The 19,382-nt window shown below is 41.1% G+C and overlaps 1 protein-coding gene and 1 long non-coding RNA gene across 8 annotated transcripts in view, besides 1 other annotated feature; one reads left to right on the top strand and one right to left on the bottom strand.

The window, feature by feature from the left end:
* Positions 1-4,259: 4,259 nt before the first annotated feature.
* Positions 4,260-17,798, bottom strand: LOC441087 (uncharacterized). Its single transcript, NR_149046.1, has 3 exons — positions 17,646-17,798; positions 15,173-15,295; positions 4,260-5,166 (listed from the first exon to the last, which is right to left on the bottom strand). It is a non-coding gene; the product is annotated as an uncharacterized LOC441087 (long non-coding RNA).
* POC5 (POC5 centriolar protein) overlaps positions 17,793-19,382 on the top strand; it is a 43,314-nt gene continuing 41,724 nt past the window's right edge. For all 7 annotated transcript variants that reach the window (XM_011543160.2, XM_047416725.1, XM_005248436.2 and 4 more), the window contains exon 1: positions 17,793-17,924. The gene's annotated coding sequence lies outside the window, so the exon portion shown is untranslated. The remainder of the gene's footprint in view (positions 17,925-19,382) is intronic.
* Positions 18,088-18,397: an enhancer, noted in NCBI's record as "active region_22684". NCBI's record gives its function as "activates an Ori minimal core promoter by ATAC-STARR-seq in GM12878 lymphoblastoid cells {active_cell/tissue: GM12878}" and the evidence as "EXISTENCE:reporter gene assay evidence [ECO:0000049][PMID:35858748]".

Below are 19,382 nucleotides of genomic sequence, written 5' to 3'. Positions count from 1 at the left end.
ATCAACAGCAAACACAAATTATTTTATAGAGGAAGGGGAAATCATAAGTCTTTAGCATTTTAATTCAGCAAATGTTTACTTAGGGCTCACCGAACTTAAGGTCTGTACTTTGTGCCATCAGTGACACAAGAATGAGGACGGGACAATCCCTGCCCTAGAGTATCCAGTAATTAAAGGCAGAATATAACACGAGGTAAGCATGCAATATGCTTTAGAGGGGAAGAGATCACGAAAAATAACATAAAAGCAAACAAACAAACAAAACCCAAAAATAGACCTCTTAGTGGGAGTGGCATTTGGGATAACCTTAAAAGAAGTTTGGAACTTTGCAGGCAGAGATAAGGGAATTGAGGAGGATGGGGAAAAATATATACCAATAATAATAAATTAAAGCCTCTAGTTTAAAAATGAGTCTTATTTTACTTTTCTCTTATTTTATCAGCAAAATATACAAGAGAAAACTTATAATTTTCACAGTCATTTGTGATTAGGATTTGATTATTAGAAAGGTGAAATATATTTAATTTGCAATACTAAAACAATTACATTTTTCTTTCCTTAAAAAGTGAATCATGAATGATAAAGTTTGGTAGCATTTCTGCTACTAAGTTTTCTTCAAATCATTTTTGCCTCAAAAAAACAAAAGACAAAAAACTCACCCAAATAAATTTTCCAAAATTTTATTAAGATAGGATGATGTATAACTTTAAATAAGTTCTATTAAATATTCATATTATCATTATCACATAACACATATTACATAAATATATATTACATATTCACCAGACATAAAAGAATAGTTGTTCACTTTTCAAGCTTTTTTAAAAAGATGTTCAGATAATCTATGTGACCGCTGATTCTTAGAAATTCAGCAAATCAACATCATCCTCTTTTTTATTCTTACGGTAAAATTAATGCTTTGATATTGTACTTTTTTTATCAACATCTTCAATGGTGATTTCAATTATTTGAATTTTAGTCTAGACAGGGCTATCATGCACCCTTGAATTTAAATTTTGCCTTTATCAAATATGTTACTGGCATGTTTTTCTTCGGATTCAGGGTATATACGTAAATTTTATAAATGTTCAATGTAACAAGAAATAAAGCAATAACCTTTGAATTTTTATTAGAATAGTCTTTGAATATATACTGCTGTGGTCTGAATGTCTCCCCAAAATACATATTTTGAAATCTTAACACCCAAGGTGATGGTATTAGCAGGTTGGGGTCTTTGGAAGGTGATAAGGTCATAAGGATGGAGCCCTCAAGAATGGGATTAGTGCCCTATCAAAAAGACCTGAGGGAGCTTGGCTGCTCTTTTCACCATGTGAAGACACAGCTGAAAGGCACAATCTGTGAACCAGAAAGCCCTTACAAGACACTGAATCCAGCAGTGCCTTGGACTTCCCAGCCTCCAGAACTAGGAGTAAAAAATTTCTGTTGTTTATAAGCCATTCAGTTTATATTTGGTTATAGCAGCCTGAATGGACTAAAACACATACACATTCATCTTGCAAAAATAATGATTTATGTAAGTTGAATAATTACCTATGCAAAATGCTTTTTAAATATAAAACTCTATCAACCCATAACTTTATTTATTTATTTATTTTTGAGACAGGTCTCACTCTGTCACCCAGGCTGGAGTGCAGTGATGCCATCACGGCTCACTACAGCCTCAACCTCACAGGCTCAAGGGATCCTCCTGCCTCAGCTACCCAAGTAACAGGGACTACAGGCATGCATCACAAGGCCCGGTTACTTTTTGTATTTTTTTTTTTTTTTTTTTTTTTTTTTGTAGAGATGGGGTTTCACCGTGTTGCCCAGGCTGGTCTCAAACTCCTTGGCTCAAGCTATCTGTCCACCCTGGCTTCCCAAAGTGCTGGAATTACAGGTGGAGCCACTGCACCCCACTCAACCCATAACTTTAAAAAATGTTTTCTTTTTTTATATTAACAAAATCTATTTAATTGTTAAACGGACATGATCGAGCTTGTTTTACACAAGTGTTAAGATTCTTTATCTTTGTATCCTGATGAATAAAAATGACATGAGGAGGAATGCAAAATCTCATTTTTAAATGTCATTTCTCTTTTGGTGCATTTCTAGAATATGAATAACCTTTATTTGATCTGGTTTTATGTATTTGTTTTTTTTCTTATTAGTAAAAATTCTAAAGGGCAAACAACACTGTATAAAGTAATACTTATAATTTAGAGATACATGCACAATATAGTATTGTAATATAAAATAACAGTTAATATTGCATCACAGATCTCCAAGTATTTTCTTTTTTTTTTTTTTGAGACAGAGTCTCACTCTGTCGCCCAGGCTGGAGTGCAGTGGCGCAATCTCGGCTCACTGCAAGCTCCGCCTCCTGGGTTCACGCCATTCTCCTGCCTCAGCCTCCCTAGCAGCTGTGACTACAGGCACACGCAGCCACGCCTGGCTAATTTTTGTATTTTTAGCAGAGATGGGGTTTCACTGTGTTAGCCAGGATGGTCTCAATCTCCTGACCTTGTGATCTGCCCGCCTCGGCCTCCCAAAGTGCTGGGATTACAGGTGTGAGCCACCACACCCGGCCTCTCCAAGTATTTTCAAACCAAATTTTTATTATTAGTATAACCTTCTGGTCCTATGGTTTAACTATGCAGAACTTTGTATCAACTATTATAGTAGCAAAATATATGTGAAATGGGCTAGCACATTGCTTGATGGATAGCAACCACCCAAGTACTTTTTGGACTGAGTACCCAAAAAAATGTAAGAAAGTCCTCTGCCCTTTCTCTGGAAATTACATCTGTTTTTCCTATAGCATTTTATTATTTTCTAGGAAGAAACTCAAACTTAAATTGCTCACTCAAGATTCACATGTGGCATGACTGGCGGGTCTGTGAGGTACATCATCAACAGTAACAGAGTTAAAACTTGTGAAGCAGGCTGGGTGTGGTGGCTCACACCTATAATCCCAGTGCTTTGGGAGGCCGAGGTGGGCGGATCACTTGAGGTCAGGAGATGGAGACCAGCCTGGCCAACATGGCGAAACTCCGTCTCTACTAAAAATACAAAAAAATTATCTGGGCGTGGTGGTACTCGCCTGTAATTCCAGCTACTCAGGAGGCTGAGGCAGGAGAATCACTTGCAGAGGTTGCAGTGAGCCAAGATTGAGCCATTGTGCTCCAGCCTGGGCGACAGAGGGAGACTCACGCCTGTAATCCCAGCACTTTGGGAGGCCAAGGCGGGCAGATCACCTGAGGTCAGCAGTTTGTAACCAGCCTGGCCAATATGGACAAATCCATCTCTACTAAAAATACAAAAATTAGCTAGGCGTGGTGATGGGTGCCTGCAATCCCAGCTACCTGGGAGGCTGAGGCAGAATTGCTTGAACCTGGGAGGTGGAGGTTGCAGTGAGCCGAGATCCTGCCACTGCACTCCAGCCTGGATGACAGAGCGAAACTCCGTCTCAAAAAAAAAAGTTGTGAAGCAGTTATGTGCACTCTAGCAGGTACATGACCTCTACATATCTCAAGACTCAAGAGTCTTTTTCTAGAAAGATATTTAAAGGAGTGTTAAGGCAGTGCAGGCACTAAAAGACTTATCAAGGGCAAAGGGCCAACATGAAAAAAGAAAGGAAATTTTGAGTATTGCTCTTAGTGCACTCTGTGTGTGGCTTGTGCCAAGATTCCATAAATGAATCCCTAAATGAGAACAAATGTAAGCAACTGAGAATCGGTTAAGGTAACATTAGTTAGCTGCTATAACAAACAGACCTCAAATATTCAGCAACTTGTCACAGTAGAAATGTAATTTTTAAAATTGTGGTAATATACACATAATACAATGATACAATTTATCATTTTAATTATTTTTTTTTTTTTTTTATTTTTGAGACGGAGTCTCGCTCTGTCGCCCAGGCTGGAGTGCAGTGGCGGGATCTCGGCTCACTGCAAGCTCCGCCTCCCGGGTTCACGCCATTCTCCTGCCTCAGCCTCCCAAGTAGCTGGGACTACAGGCGCCCGCCACTACGCCCGGCTAATTTTTTGTATTTTTAGTAGAGACGGGGTTTCACCGTTTTAGCCGGGATGGTCTCGATCTCCTCATTTTAATTATTTTTAAGTATACAGAAAATGTATTTCTTCTTTTTTTTTTTTTGAGACAGATTCTTACTCTGTCGCCCAGGCTGAAGTGCAGTGGCATGATCTCAGCTCACTGCAACCTCTGCCTCCTGGGTTCAAGCAATTCTCCTGCCTCAGCCTCCCAAGTAGCTGGGATTACAGGCTCGCGCTGCCACACTTGGCTAATTTTTTGTATTTTAGTAGAGATGGGGTTTCCTTGTGTTGCCAAGGCTGGTCACAAACTCCTGAGCTCAGGCAATCTGCCCACCTCAGCCTCCCAAAGTCCTGGGATTACAGGCGTGAGCCACCCTGCGCAGGCCAGAAAATGTATTTCTTCCTCCCAGAACAGTGCAAGGTGGATGTCCTGGCTCCTTCTGTCCCATATTCTGACATTCCTTGAGGTATTAGAGCTGGCAGAAGAGGAAAAAGAGAATGTAAAGGAGACAAACCCCACTTCTTAAACTCCTTGGCCCAGAAATGAGACACATCAGCTCTGTTCACATGGGTGTGAGCTAGTCCTATGACTCCACTAAATGCAAAGGTGGGGTACAGGGGCTCAGAATTTTTTTTTAATGTGTGTGTGGCTACTTCTTGGCACTTATTCTACATAATGGAATTTTAGCAGACAGCTAGTCATCTCTGCAAAAAGCTTCTTCACTAAATTCTCCCTGCTCACTGGCAACACCAGGAAGCATGACTTTGGAGCCCAGGTAGAAATATAAGACAAAAGACATAAAAAGATCCTTTCCACTTCAGTAGAGAACCTATTGGTGCTTTGAAGTCTTTATCACATCAATGCCACCACCAGTGCCTGCATCAGCAGAGTGGAACACTAGCAACCTTGCCAACCAGAGGTGCTAATACATTCAGCAAAGACATCAGATCTTCCACTTCCATACAAGACTTCCAGCAGTGCTACCTTCAGCAGATGAGAGAGAGCAGCGGCACTTTTTGTGGGAGTGGGAGGTGACAGCACCTTTGACAGGCACCAGCAGAGTCTCTGTAGGTATCTGAGGTGAGCAGCAGATCATCTGAGAAGGGGGCGATCCTGAAGGAAAGGGAAAATATGGCAAGCTTATCATGGTACCTGAGAAGATGCTCTGTGTGACTATTCATTTATATGAACCCCTATGATTAACAGGAATTAGTTAGGAGTAAGGCTGTGATCATTCATTTTATGTATCAACTTGACTGGGACATGGAGTGCCCAGATATTTGGTTAAACATTATTCTGGGTGAGTTTCTGAGGGTTTCTGGAAGAGTTAACATTTGAGTCAGCTGACTTAGTCTCAGCTTGCCCTTCCCAATGTGGGTGGGCCTCATCTGATCCTTTAGAGACCTGAATAGAACAAAAGGGAGAATTCATTCTCTCTGCCTGACTGTTTTCAAGCTGGAACATCAGTCTTCTCCTGCACTTGGACTGGACACCACAGGATCTCTTGGGTCTCCAGCTTGCAGATGGCAGACTGTAAAGTTTCTCAGCCTCCATAATTGCATGAGCCAATGAGCCAATTCCTTATAATAAACACACACGCACACACACACACACACACACAAAATCTGTTTCTCTAGAGAACAAAGGCTTTGTTGTCAGACTGTTGGGAAACAAATAAAAGAAATATTACTGAGACCTTGGCTTTACTCCAAAGCTGCTATCAGCCTGAAACTGCATTTCCGCAAAACCATTTCCCTGGGAGAAAGATCAATGTCTTGAGTAATGGAATAGCACATGGGACGTACCTTAACTTACAGATCTAGGAGCCACAGTAAGCCCTGGAACCCAGTCCCCACCTTCAATTACAGCAGCTTTGAGGCAGGCAATGAATATCTGCTAAAAGCTATGCTCTGGTTTGAATGTGTCCCTGAAGTTCAAGTGTTGAAAACTTAATCCCCCCGACGCAGCAGTGTTGCAGGTGGGGCCTAATAGGAAGTGATTAGGTCATGAGGGATTTGCTCTCAGGAATGGATTGATGTTGTTATTGCTGGTGTAGGTTAGTTATCAAGAGAGTAGCCTTGTTATAAAGGCGAGTTTGGCCCCCTCTTACTCTCCTTCACTCTCTTGCCCTTTCACTTTCCACCATGGGCTAATGCAGCAAGGCTTTCACCAAATGCCCGCCCCTCAATCTTGGACTTCCCAGCCTCCAGAACTGTAATAAATAAAATCACTTTCTTTATAAAATATCCAGGCTGTGGTATTCTGTTGCAGCGACACAAAATGGACTAAGCTAAGCTATGGAGGGAAAAGATGAAATACTAAATGGCTCTCAGGATCACACACCCATCATGAATGAATTAGGATTAGGTGCTACTTAGAAGAGGAGGTGAAAAGCTAAGCTTCAGTGGGGTGTATTTGCTGGCAACTGAAACGAATAGAGGGAACCGGAATGAAGAGAGGTTGAGACTTGAAAAGCCCAGAACCCTGGAGACTTCCAACGTGCACAGCTGTCAGAACTGGACTCTACAATCAGAAGTCTGGAAAAGTGTCTTTGGGGTTTAAGTAGGAAATTGACTTCAACCTCCAGGGAACCAGCTATGAAGCTTGGAGTGTCTAGAGCAAAGTTACAGAGAGGCCTGATTGTGATAGGGTGAACAATGCTGAAGCTTAGAGCCACAGAGAATACTGCTCTTGCTAGAAGCTAGGACCCTAATTGACCTAGGGCAAAGCGGCCCTGTGGCCAGAAGCATCAATATCACACGGGAACTTGTTTGAAATGCACATTCTTGGGCCCAACTTCAAACCTGCTTAATCAGAAACTCCCAAAGTGAAGCCCAGCAACCCATGTCCTAGTAAACTGTCAAGGTGAGGAAAGAAAAAAAAAGGTTGATCTGAGGAATGTAAGCCTTTTCAAATTATTAGGCCCAGAGAGGCATTGAAATGAGACAGCAATCACACCCTACTCCCTTCTTTGAGCTATGTATTCAACTCTTGAAACTGCTTGCTACTGCCACAAGTTGCTATAAATTAACCTAATGCCACACCGGACACTATAAACAACACCCTATAGTTTAACAACGTCTAGCCAATCACCAGTCAATGTTATTTCTGTAAACCAATGAGAATTCCTGACAGATGACTTTGTATCAGCCCACTCCCTGCCCCCTCTTTCTGCCTTTAAAAATCTACTTGTAACTGCTATTATCTGGAATGTATATTCAGGACAACTTGAATCTATGCTTCCAGGTTGCAATCCTCAAACTTGGCCCAAATTAACTCTCTACTTATATTAATTTTGCTTAAGCTTCTTCCTTTTAGGTCAACACAGGTTAGTTTGATGCACACTAGGGAACACAGGAGACCCAAGCAATGTTGGGTGAGGGGAAGTTTACATAGGGGAGGAAAATGGAATGAAACATATGGGGGTAAGAATAACCCATTCCTGCAAGGTAGAAACTGAAAGGACATTCTCAAAGGGACCATCTCTCAGACCTATCCATAAAACTAACTTGTATCAACTCCAGGCTACAGTAAGACTAGTTTGGCACATACACCAGACATATAAGCTGATTCGCAAACTAAAAACTGGAGTCAGTATCTACCACCTCAGAAGAGAACTCAGGAAATTGAAAATGATTAATAATTACTATGAGGGTTTTTGACACTTCAGGAACTTTTGTAACTTATACAAACGGATTGGTTTTTATACTCCAATCTATTTATCATAATTTATTTATGTTTTTTAAAAAATCTTTCAATGAAGAGACAGTCTATTCTTTATTAGGAGCAAACGAAAAAACAGGGAGTCTGGGGAAAGAACATCCTAATATATGAACAGTCTCAGAAAACGAAGAATTCTAAATAAGAGTGATGGGCAGATATTTTTAGAAGAAAGCAAGCTAATTCTATGAAGACTCAAGACAGGAAAGGGACTTCCTTCTAAAAGATCATTCAACAGAAGGCTGTGCTTCTGCAACATAAAATAGTACATTTCTTCATCAAAGTTAAACATAAACATTTATATAAAATAGCACATTTCTTCATCAGAGTTCACCATAAAGGTTTACAAATAAAAATGGACAAATGGATCACATCAAGTTAAAAAGCTTCTGCACAGCAAAGGAAATAATCAACAAAGTGAAGAGACAACCCACAGAATGGTAGGAAATATTTGCAAATTACCCCTCTGACAAGGGATTAATAACCAGAATATATAAGGAGCTCAAACAACTCTATGGGAAAAAAATCTAATAATCTAATCAAAAATAGGCAAAATATTTTAATAGACATCTCTCAAAAGAAGACATGCAGATAGCAAACGGGTATATGAAAAGGTGCTCAACATCACTCATCATCAGAGAAATGCAAATCAAAACCACAAAGATATCATCTCACTCCAGTTAAAATGGCTTATATCCAGAAGATAGACAATAACAAATGCTGGTGAGGATGTGGAGAAAAGGAAGCCTTGTACACTATTAGTGGGAATGTATATTAGTACAACTACTATGGAGAAGAGTTTGGAAGTTCTTCAAAAAAACTAAAACTAGAGCTACCATATGATCCAGCAATCCCACTGCTGGGTATATACCCCAAATAAAGGAAATCAGTATATCAAAGATATATCTGCACTCCCATGTTTGTTGCAGCACTGCTTACAATAGCTGAGATTTGGAAGCAATCTAAATGTCCATCAACAGATGAATGGATAAGGGAAATGTGGTACATATACACAATGAAGTACTATTCAGCCATGAAAAGGAATGAGATCCTATCATTTGAACAAAATGGATGGAACTGGAGATCATTATGCTAAGTGAAATAAGCCAGGCACAGAAAGACAAACATTGCATGTTCTCAATTATCTGTGGGATCTAAAAATCAAAACAATTGAACTCATGGGCATAGAGAATAGAAGGATGATTAGCAGAGGCTGGGAAGGGTATTGAGGAGCTGGCAAGGGAGATGGGGACAGTTAATGGGTACAAAAAAATAGAAAGAATGAATAAGACCTACTATTTGATAGCATAACAGGGTGACTGTGGTCAACAATAACTTAATTGTACATTTAAAAATAACTAGAGTGTAATTGGATTGTTTGTAACACAAAAGATAAATGCTTAATGGGATGGATACCCTATTCTCCATGATGTGATTATTTCACATTGCATGCCTGTATCAAAACATCTCAAGCACCCCATAAATATATATACCTACTATGTACCCATAAAAATTAAAAATTTTAAAAAAAATTTTTAAAGAAAAGTCAATAAGCCATCCTCCCACAGGGTTAACAAGAATTCTAGACAGAAATATAATTATATTAATCAGGCTGCACTTTGGCCCACTTCCTTGTAACTGAAAGTCACTAGATACTGACCATTTGTATCCCCACTGTTCCTATTGATAGAATTGCTGACATTAGAATCATAAAGCTTCTGTTTAAGGATTGCTTAAGAAGTTTTTCAGATCCTGAGTTCCAGGGAAACAGTTCAAAGACCCTCACAGAGGAATCAGCATGAGAATACAGTTTCTTCATCTCCCTATCCCATGACTTCACCTTGCACTCTTCAAGCAATCAACGATCTCCACACTTTGGCCCACTCCAAGACCTTTAAAAACCCTAGCCCCAAACTCCTGGGCAGATGGATTTGAGATTTCCTCCCATCTCCTCATTTGTCTGCCCTACAATCAAATCTCTTTCTCTTCTGCAACCCAGTGTCTCAGCATACTGACTTGCCAAATGCACTGGGCAAAGATGGTCATTTACTTTGGCGATACTAATTCATCCTTTTACCAGTTTCTTATATTGAGTGCTAATGGACGGATTCAGGGCCATTTAAATTGAGTTTTCTGTTTCTTATTGCCACACTTATTCCACTAAGACAAGTCACTTGAAGACCTTGCTAATGAAGATTAGTATCTCCATTAATCAGACTTAAAATAGACCCCAACTGGTGAGCTACAAGATGGAGACTATGACCTGGGATCCCCAATCTCCTTTTACCTATCCTCCCACAGACTGTGAAATGAGAGACACATTAAGACACATGCAGGCTGTGTATAGGGAGACTAATATTTTAACTCACACAGTAACTTGTGTGAGATTGGGAGGTACAGATGCTCCAAAGGGGCTGGGAGCGTGGTAGACACAGGATACGTCTCAGAGCAGAAAACACTTTCTGTTTCCTACTAAGCTCATCATGTCTACTCCTCTCCTGCCACCTCCCCATCAATTCCCTAAATTCAATACACTTTTTGTAGCCTCCTCTAAGTAAATAAGCATATCACCACTCCTACCATATTGCCATTTTTCTTTTTCATCGGCATTCAAGATAAAAATACAGTAAGCTTTTTTCTCATTTAGCATTCTTCCTCCTGTTCATTAAATCTGCTAGCCTTGCAACAGTATAGTTTTCTACCATACTGCAAACAATGCTTGCAAACAATGTTTCAGCCCTATTATGGACTCATAATTGAGCTGACCTTGGAATTATAATACTTTCATTTTTCTGTAGGAAAATGCATTTCAAGTTACAAACAATAGATCTGCAATTAAGCTTTGGGACATGTTTATAGATGTGAGGTGGATTGATTGGCATGACCCCTCACACACAAAAGGCAACTACAAAAAAGCAATTAGAATGGTGCTTTCAAAGACAGGAAACAAATTCTTCCACAACATTTCAAATCTGCTTTAAAATACTAGATCTAGCCTCTCTTCCCTTCCCTCCATTAAAAAAAAAAAATGAAAGGGAAGAATGGAGAAAGGAAAGAAGGGTCATAATTTAGAATGCGTAAATTCTTATTACTGAGCTGAATGACCCTGATCTACAAACTCACCCTCAGAAGCCCTAAAGATCCAAGAATACAGCATCTGTATAGTACTCAAACTCAGTAATATTGTTCTCTGAAAAGCTAATTAATCCTGCCTCTCACACCTCATGCTAGATTGTTTTATCAGGAGAAAGAATGCTAAGGGTAAGGAAGTTTTTATATGGCTAGAAGATGCTATTAGAGAGGTTCAAGAATGAGTGTTTATAATTAGGAAAAGCAGAAGGTTGGTGATGAGGGCCAAGAAATGAACTCCCTTCTGCAATAACAGAGCCAGGCCTGTAGAATCCAGAGAATCAAAATACTCTGAATAAGCCCTTAATCCACAGAAAAGTGGTGAACTGCCTCATATGTAGACCACTGTGTCCATAATAACCATCATTTACTCTGCGTTTTTGCCTTATTGATAGGGTCTTTTTCCTTCTGCTCCGCCTCAGTTAAATGGCTCTCAGAGTGTGAAGAGGTTGTAAAAAGACTGTGTAGTCTAACTACAGGAGTTCTACTTGGGACCTGTATTGTGAGCCACTTGGTCAAAATTAATTTACCATGATCTTTGCACACCTTCCTACTTGATATATAGATTTTTTCTTTTGGATATATAGCTGGGTATATATCCAAAAGAAAATAAATTGTTCTTCCAAAAAGACACCTGTACTCATATGTTTGTCAAAGCACTATTCCCAATAGCAAAAATATGGAATCAATCTAGGTGTCCTTCAATGTTGGGTTGGATAAAGAAAATGTGGTACATCTACACCATGGAATACTACACAGCCATAAAAAAGAATAAAACCATGTCAGCATGGTGGGCTCATGCCTGTAATCCCAGGATTTTGGGAGGCCGAGATGGGAGTATCACTTGAGGCCAGGAGTTCAAGACCAGGCTGGCCAACATAACAAGACTCCACCTCTTAAAAAAAAAAAAATTAAAACTTGTCCTTTGCAGCAACATGGATGGAGTTGGAAGCCATTATCCTAAGCAAATTAACAGAGGAACAGAAAACCAAATACTGTGTGTTCTTACTTATAAGTGGGAGCTAAACATTGGGTGTTAATGGGTGTAAAGATGCAACAATAGACACTGGTGGACTACTGGCAGGGTGGGGAGAAAGGGCTGAAAGACCATTGGGTACTATGCTCACTACTTGCATTATGGGATCATTCATATCCCAAACCCCAGCATCATGCAATATACTCATGTAACAAACCTGCACATGTACCTCCTGAATCTAAAATTAAAGTTGAAATTATATTTTTTTAAATCAAATTTTTAAGGAACATCATGGCAGCCTCTACCTAGATGTAGGCACTAGTAACAGCCCTGTTCCTAAAATCTGCACCCATCTCCACTCCCACTTCCGATCTCTCTCTCTCTCTCTCACTAGATTTCCAGCTCAAAGATAGCAAACATAGATCCCTCTTGGTCTAAATTCCTCCTTCATAAAATGAAAGTAATAGACTAGACTGTGGTTGCTACCCTGGACAAGAGTCATCAGTGTTAAAGATCCCTAGAATGAGGAATGTTCTCTTAAAGTCCCAGCTAAACAAATAATAGGGTGAAGAGATAATAGGGTGAAGGATTTTTAAGTGAGTCATGGATGACCTTAAAAAGAAACAGGTTTCAAATCAGTGCCCTAACACAATGTCCAGCAAAAATAACATAGGTATCAACTCTCTCCACTAATATTATTAATATTATAATAATAATTTCAACTAATAATCATATTAGTGGAAATTAATAGATGCTTTCCAACAGGTGCCTAAAGTCATCTTAACTTTAGGCCTATATCTTAGGAAAGGCTGGATCCCAGATCTTAAGAATCCAAATTCTATGTTCTTTCTACCTCACTTGGCTGCCTTACTTTAAAATTTTGCAAAGTGCTTTCATATACATTACTTCTCAACAACTTTATATACCCATCTGTAGAGGTGTAGATGTGGTGTTAGTTAAAAGCCATGAAAAATTGACCCTCAAATATAAAAACTTTTTTAAAAAGATGTTTTCTCATACTACAGAACTAGCAGGAGAGTTATATTCCACATGGTCATGCAGCCCACCATAGTGGGAAAAGAGAAGAAGACTTGGAGAAAGACACCTAATGTCTTAAATCCCAGTTCACAGGAAGTGATACACTGCATTTCCACTCACATTCTATGGCTTCTGGCCTCACTTAATTGATAGGTAGGTGGAAAAGGTAGTCCTGCTATGCAGCTATATGCTCAGCTTCAATTAGTTTACTAGAGCAGGAGGGAACTGATATTGAGAGACAGAAAAAGAGAGAGAGAGAGACAATAGATTTACGTTCAGGTCCTGGTTTAGATGTAGAGTTAGATTTTATATGTTCTAATACTTTCTCAATTTTAAAGAGATGAAACTCAAGCATATAAAGAATGTACACCTGCCCCAAAGTTTCCTACCTGATAAGTGGTACATTTGGGGACTCCAGCATAGTCCTTTTGGTGTTTTGTGGGGCTTGGTTTAGGAGAGCTTTGGATGCCATGCAATACCGTGGAAGGCTTTTGGATAGGTGATGCAATCCAGTGATATTCTAAGAAGATAGTTTATCAGCAGTGTGAAGAGTGAATTGTAGAAAGAAGAAATGAAGGCATACAATCAAGAAACAGTCCAAGCCAAATTCAGCAGTGGCTTAACCAAAAACATGAGAGATGGAAAGAAGACAGGTACTAGAGGAGGTTCAGAACTTGGGGCCCATGGAAGGGCCAAGACATGGGGGAACTCCATATTGTCAAACACAATAGTCACTTCACTAGCATTTTACTGAAGCCTCTGCTGGTTTTCCTCCCACTTCTCCAGCACCTCCTTCTCAGTCTCCTTTGCTGGCTCCTCCATTGCTACCCAACCTCTAAACATTAGAGGACATCAGGGTTCAGTTCCAAATCCTCTTCTCTACTCATTTTGCTCTCCCCCACTAGATTGTCTCATCTAGTTCTTTGGCTTTAAAGTGCATCTGTATCAGTTATCTATTGTCATAATAAGCTTACATAACAAACCACCCTAAACACAGTGACTTTAAACAGTCAATAATAATTGAGTTCATGACTCTGTAGGTTGTCTGGGTGGTTCTTAGATTCACACACCTGTTGGGGAGTCAAATGGCTATAGGCTGACCTAGGATGGCCTTGGCTAGGATGACTGGGGCAACTTGGCTCTACTACATGTGTCTTTCATCTTCCAGCAGGCTAGCCCAGGCGTATTTCATCGTTGTAACAGAGGGCAAGAGCAAGCTAAGCCAAGCACGTAAGTATTTTGAAACTTCCGCTTGCATCATATTTGTTAACATTCCGTTGGTCATTAGTAGAGAAGCACTCCAAGTGAAATTGCATGGCACAGGACATCAATACCTGGAGAGATGTAGAATTGGAGCCATTTTTGCAATCCTCCACAAAATCTATATGCAAAAGCCACCCAGTTTATATATCTAGGCAGTGACCTCTTTTCTGAGCCCTAGACATGTAAGTTCAGTGGTCTGATGGATACTCCATTTGGGTATCTCCAGATATTTCATGTTTAAAGAATGTTTAAAATTCAATTTTGATCTTCCACTTTCAAAACCTGCTCCTCTTCCAGTGTTCTCCTCAATATCTGATGCTGTCATCCACTCAGTTGCTCAAGCGAGAAACCTGAAACCTGGAGTCCTTCACACTTTTCTCTCCTTCACCTCAGATACAGTCCAAATCCTATCATCAAGTCCCACCAATTATACCTCCAAAACATACAGTTGGCCCCCTATATCCTCAGGTCCCACATCAGCAGATTTAGCCAACCGTGGATCAAAAATATTCAAAAAAGTAAATTTTAAAAGTAAAAAATAATACAAATAAAAAACAATAAAATATAACAACCATTTACATACATATATTTACATTATGTTAGGTATTATAAGTAATCTAGAGATTATTTAAAGTACATGGGAGGATGTCTGTAGGTTATATGCAAATACTATACCATTTTATATAAGCGAATTGAGCATCCTCAATTTTGGTATTTACTTTGGCGGAGGGGGAGGGGAAGACATCAGGAGTGGTCCTGGAACCAATCCCTAGGAATAGCAAGTGATGACTGTATCTCATTTCTGTCTTCTCTCCATCTCCTTTGCCACTCGTCTAGTTCAAGTTGTCCTCATCTCTCTCCTGAATATCTAAAATACATCCCATTGAACTTAAAATCTCAAATCCTTAACAAGTCCTGCATAGTTGGGCCTCCATCTCTATCTGCAGCCTCATCCTGTGCCACTTTCTCTTCACTCACTTAGCCCTTTCTTACCTTAAGACCATGGCATGCCGTCCCCAACAGAACATCTTGAGTGATAAGAACATGGACTCTGTTCTTACCAGCTACATGAACCTGGGAAAGCTGCATAACCTCTCTGTGCTTCAGTTTCTCTATCTGAAAAATGAGGATAAGAATAGCACCTACGTTAATTTAATTCTCAGTGAGCGAATTCCTACCCTCATTTTTCAGATACAGAAACCGAAGTACAGAGAGGTTATGCAGCTTGCCCAGGTTCACACAGCTGTTATGTATTCATATGTGTGGTGGATTTGTTGGTTTGATATCGGTTTTTCCCATTAGACTCTTAGTTCCATGAGGGCAAACTGTGTTTTGCTCACCACTCTATCCCCAGCACCAACAAAAATTTGCTTTGCCTGTGACAGATGTTAAATATTTGTGTTGAATGAATAAATAATTATGAAGGGTTCAAGCTGGCAACCAAGTTATTATGGGTTTGTGGGGGCTTTAAATTCTCTCTCTCTCTCTTTCCCTCCCTCTCTAGGAACCTTGGGAAAAGATATCAGTTCTAAATTCATAACATCCAGACAAGGTTCTGTCTCTTTCTCTCTATAGTTTTACAGGAGAATGGGATTGTTTACTAAATGGTTTGCGATAAAAATCTCTCCTCCCCAAAAAGGAAGACAGAAAAGAGAAACTTGGAGCCTAGTGGCAGGAGGGCACCAGAAGAGTGATTCAGTATCAATTATAGTGTATGGGGTCACCAAAAGGCAATTCAATTAAAAAACAAATACTAGAACCAAGTATGAATTTGCAGCTATTAATAGGAACTTGTCCTCTATAATAAGCATGAAAAAAAAGGGGGAGAACAAACATAATTTATGCCAAAGAAACTTCTGGTGCTCTTCTTACTTGTTTGTGTAAGTAGAAGTCTGGTTCTGCCAACATAAAAGTAAGTGAGACCCAGGTTATGTCATTTCTATCTACAGAAAAAGAAACCTTATACTGGAGGTAACAGAAGGGAGCCTGAAAACTCACCCAGATCTCAGTATCTGTTCTTCAGATTGCAGAACCCCAGTCTGGGCTACTTAGGTACCTTTGCCATCTGGGTCCTCATACCTCTAGCCTATCTGTTGCCAATGTAAGTTGAAAGACTATATGTTTGTGTGTTCGGTGTTTTAGATATATTAATTCCTTTAATCTCCTACCACCTTAGTATGTGAGTAGTATTATCCAAGGTGACAGCGAGTAGATGGTAAAGCTAGATTATAATTATGATCTGATTCTAAGGCCAATACTTCACCAGAAGGCTCTATCTTGAAGTCTGACACGTTTGAGATTAGTTAAAACTAGACTACCAATTTTGGTTTTTTCTTTGTTTTTTGAGACAGAGTCTCACTATCACCCAGGCAGGAGTGCAGTGGCGATATCTTGGCTCACTGCAACCTCTGCCTCCTGGGTTTAAGGGATTCTCCTGCCTCAGCCTTCGGAGTAGCTGGGACTACAGGCGTAAGCCACCACACCCGGCTAATTTTTGTATTTTTAGTAGAGATGGGGTTTCACCATGTTGGCCAGCCTGGTCTCGAACTCCTGACCGCAGGTGATCCGCCTGCCTCGTCCTCCCAAAGTGTTGGGATTACAGGCGTGAGCCAACGCGCCCAGCCTAGACTAGCAATTTCTCAAAGGGTGGTCTGCAGACTCCTGCATCAGAATCACTGGCAGTGTGTGTTAAAAATTCAGATTTCCTGACGGTGTCCATGACCGAAGGAATCAACACCTTCGGCCGGGCGTGGTGGCTCACGCCTGTAATCCCAGCACTTTGGGAGGCCGAGGTGGGCGGAACACCTGAGGTCAGGAGTTCGAGACCAGCCTGGCCAACATGGTGAAACTCCATCTCTACTAAAAATACAAAAATTAGCCAGGCGTGGTGGCGGTCGTCTGTAATCCCAGCTACTCGGGAGGCTGAGGCAGGAGAATCCCTTGAACCTGGGAGGCGGAGGTTGCAGTGAGCCGAGATAGTGCCACTGCACACCAGCCTGGACGGCAGAGCAAGACTCCATCTCAAAAAAAAAAAAAGCACCTCCAAGTGATTCTGTTGCAGGGGATCTGTGGATGATGCAGATTTTTTTTTTGTTTTTAATTTTTTATAGAGAAAGGGTCTCCCTATGTTCCCCAGACTAGTCTCGAACTCCCGGGCTCAAGCGATCCTCCCACTTCGGCCTCCCAAAGTGCCGGGATTACTGGCATGAACCACCACACCTGGCCCAGAATTTCGGATTGTTCTTATGCAGACGAAAGCATTAGGACTCATATCTAGGTTACCGGAATTGTTGAAAGCCAACAGCACACGGCATTAGCCAACTTCAGCCCTGCTCAACAGCCTCTATCCAAATCAGCTCCCGGAGCCGCTTAGCAGCCTGCAGCCGCTGAACAGAACTGAGCACGCGCAATATTTAATCCCCACGGGCGCTGGGTGGGGCTCCCTAGGACCCCGCCCCCTACCAACCTGCGGAGCCAGGGGGCGGGGCTCTCCAAAGTAATTCCGGCTTCTCCCGGCAGCGGCCCAAATCCCCGCCCCCAGCTCTCGGACCAATCAAACGGCAGATTGCTGAAACAAAGGACCAATGCCCAGGGCGGTCCTTAATTCCTCCCTGCAGTTTGAAACTGTCAGGTTGCCGTCTAGGTAGCGGTTGTGCTTGCTGAGGCTGCACTTGCTGACACTGCAGCTGCGACGCGGCTAAGAGGCGCAGAGCGAGGAGTCGGGATTTGGTCGCGAGCGGCGACGGTGGGTAGCAGCGCTCCGGGCAGATCCTGCGTCCCTGCATCCCTGGCGAAAGTAGTGGAGGGAGATTTAAAGTTCCTTGGCGCGTGTTTCCTCCCCCTGGGCTCTTCCCCAGACCGCGAGTGATTCAGCTGTTGTGCCGGAAGGTCCCAAAGTTTCCCCTCCGAGGCGTGCAGGAAGAGGAAGTGAGCAGGAGTGAGGGATGCTGAGCGATTACTGTCATCAGAGGTTCCGGTCACTTAAAACGTTGAGAAAAAATAACCATGTATAAAGCTCTGTTGTGCTTAAGTAAGATTTTTCTTAAAACAGGCTGGGTCGGAAGGTGATGGAAGAAAACTTATGGCCTTTTGCTTACTGCAATGGCTTTTCTCCTCTGCTTCTAGTCCCTGCTTTGGGGAGGGGCTGGCGCGCCCCTTTCCTTGAGTGCAGCTAGGCCTGGTGAAAGGCACAGGCGACATCACCCTGCTGCTAGTTTGCATGTTAATTCGCTCTTCCTTTGCCTCTTGGGGGTTCCATTTGAATTCCCAGACCCCTGTTTTGCTGTCAGCCAGATAATTACCAAGATGTTATTTTATGTTTCTGGCAACAGAGAAGCACACAAAAGTTTTGATCTTGTTTTCTGATACCTTGGATTAGAGACTACTGAAAATGTAGTGAACTAATGTGCGTCCGCCACCCATTAAAGCAGTTTTCATTTTTCTCCTTTGTTTCTGAACCTAGAAACAGTAAGGAAAATGCTACTGTTCTAGAGTTTCAAATAACTCATACCTTGTTGACATAAAGCAGGGCAGATGGAAGATAGCATATTTTCCAAGAGTGCGGTGGGTTTTTTTGTGTCTGCAGTGTGTCCATATTAAGAAACAATTTTTGAGATCTGACCATACTTACTAGCTCATTTTTAAATAATCAGCACCCCCCCCCCCCCACCCCTGTTACCTGCCTGGTCTCAAATCCTGAAGGAAGAAGTGAATAAAAATATAAATGGACCAAGTTATCACAGTGGTAGATTTGAAGTCAGTGAAGCAGCCATTCCTTGCTGCAGATACATGCACTTATTTTATCCTCCCTAATTGGCTTAACTAAAGACAGTCATGCTGAGATTTAGTTTACTTAACATGTGTATGCACAGTGATACTCACTGGAAAAAGTTGAACTTTCCTTTCCACAATTTAGTTCCAGCCTGTGTTTCCATTCTATTTTTGCACTTTTCCCTGTATCTTCCTTTTCTATTTCAATTTCCTCATCTCTCATTTATTTTTCAGCCCACTGTGACTAAGACCTGTAATTGTTTTACTTTCCAGTGAAATTGTTCAAGCAAACGTCTCAGCAACCTCCTAATCTCCAAATTCTATCCAATCCTCATGGTTCTTTGGCATCTAATTCTATTTTCTTCTCAAAGTTGTGATATTGCTTCCATAGTTCTAATGTTCTGACTTCCTTTGCTGACTCCTCTTCTTTGCT

Source organism: Homo sapiens, chromosome 5 (genome assembly GCF_000001405.40).
Source record: "Homo sapiens chromosome 5, GRCh38.p14 Primary Assembly".
NCBI lineage: Eukaryota > Metazoa > Chordata > Mammalia > Primates > Hominidae > Homo > Homo sapiens.
Note: the sequence above shows the minus strand (reverse complement) of the source record. Positions and strands in the feature narration are given on the sequence as shown.